This window comes from Homo sapiens, chromosome X (assembly GCF_000001405.40).
Source record: "Homo sapiens chromosome X, GRCh38.p14 Primary Assembly".
In the NCBI taxonomy this organism is placed as follows: Eukaryota; Metazoa; Chordata; class Mammalia; order Primates; family Hominidae; genus Homo; species Homo sapiens.
In genome coordinates, this window is record NC_000023.11 from 151,228,251 (window position 1) to 151,230,171 (window position 1,921).

Below are 1,921 nucleotides of genomic sequence, written 5' to 3' on the forward strand. Positions count from 1 at the left end.
AAACCCCACAGCTATGACTACTGAAAATAATGTTAGAAAATGATAGCCTTACCAGCTCAAGGTGCCAGAGTTCAGAATTCAGGGATGTAAAATCAACTTGTAATTTTAATTCTAGAAATATGATTAAAAATTTTAAAGGGCAATTCCACTGTGAAGGTAACTGCAGCATGAATATGACCCAAATTCTGAATATAAATTCTATCCAAATCTCTGAATAACATCAGAAAAGCAGTCTGACACCAAAGATAAATCTATTCTTGAAAGATACGAGATAAAAACTTAAGCTACAGCAGTTTTCCAGAGATGGGCACCAAAGCTCTAGAGGGCACTTGTAATTCTTTCATAGATTACAGATTTTTTAATCCATGAAAGATTTTGTGTGGTGGTGGAGGTGATGAGAAAGACCTGAGTGTCGGAAAGACTTGAGAATGAGGTTACAGGTTAAAGAGTGGAGGATTCTCTCCGTTTCTGCCCTCTTACCCTTCAGGTAGGCCCAGATTCGAGTAGTGATATCTCAACATCAAAGACAAATAAGTCCTTGGTTAGAAAAATGAATAGCAGCCATTGTCCTATTACTGGGTGATCTTTTATGGCCATAGTGTTATTCAAACAAATTTAAATGGGGTAACTTACTTTTTAAAAATTTTTCCCCCACTTTTAATTCTGATAGCATTTCTTTCACCAGACCTCTTACTTGGCACTCAGCGTATGTAGACTTATACAATTTAAGGGTTGGAAAGAACTTTAAAGTTCATTTAATTGAAGTTAACACCTGGTGTAGGAATTTCTTCTATGATGTCTCTGTATAGATACTTATGTAGCCTCTGACTCAACTCTCCTAGTGACGGGGAACTCTACCGCTCAAGGCTGCTTCACAGCTGGATAGCTACATATTTTGTTGGAGTAGACAGAGGACAAGTCTGAGCAAGAGACTAAAAAGAAACCACAAGAGAAGAAGATGGAAAATGAGGCAAGAGTTGAGTTCAGGAAGCAAAGGCCAAAGAGAGACTTTCAAGATTGAAGGTTAACCTGACTAAACATTTCTGTCAGGGCCGATAAGATGATAATTGACATGTGCTCATTGAATTTGGCCTTAAGAACAGTTTCAGAGATAAGTGTGGAGGTTGTACCCAAAATTGCAATGGACTAAACCATGAACGGAAAGTGAGGGAAAGGAGGCAATGACCAGTAATGATTTTTCTCAATAAACTTTGTTGAGAAAAGAAAGAGATATGACAGTACCTAGAGTGAGATACAGGATTCAGAAAAGGGTTTTTTTTGTGTGTTTTTTTTTGTGGAACATGTGGGCTGGTTAGCAGGTTTTGTTGCTAAGGAGACAAAGCCAGACAAGAGAATGAGACCATAATTGATAGATGGGGGTCTTGAGAAGGTGCCTGGGAGCAAATGGGTCAAATCTTTAGTGGGAGGACCTGCATGGCCAGGTGAGTTTTTCTAGGAGCACTCCATGATGCTGCTGTAAGGAGTGAGAAAGGCAACAGTGAAGTCAGTCCAGGTGTGGCCGTTTTGGGGATGAGATGAAGTAGAGTGTGGACAGTGAAGCAAGGGAATAAAGGATATTGGCCGAAATCATTGAAAAGAGGGTACTGGCTCCATCATTTCTTAGTTGTGTGACTTTGAGCAAGTCACTGTCCTTTTTTGGGCCTCAGGCTGCTCATCTCTGAAATGAAGATAATAATGCCTACTGACTGTTGCAACTCACAATGTGATGGCATATGCAAATGACATCATAAGCTGTAGAGCCCAGCACTAGTGTGCGGTGTTATTCGGATTTCCTTCTCACTTCTGAAGGTGAGTGGGAAAATGCCATGTGTAAGAACACTGGACACTTCAGCTGGTAATGGTTCAAACCATACACTATCTCTAGTCAGGGCCTCCCTTCTCATAAGTTGTGCTTCCCCTG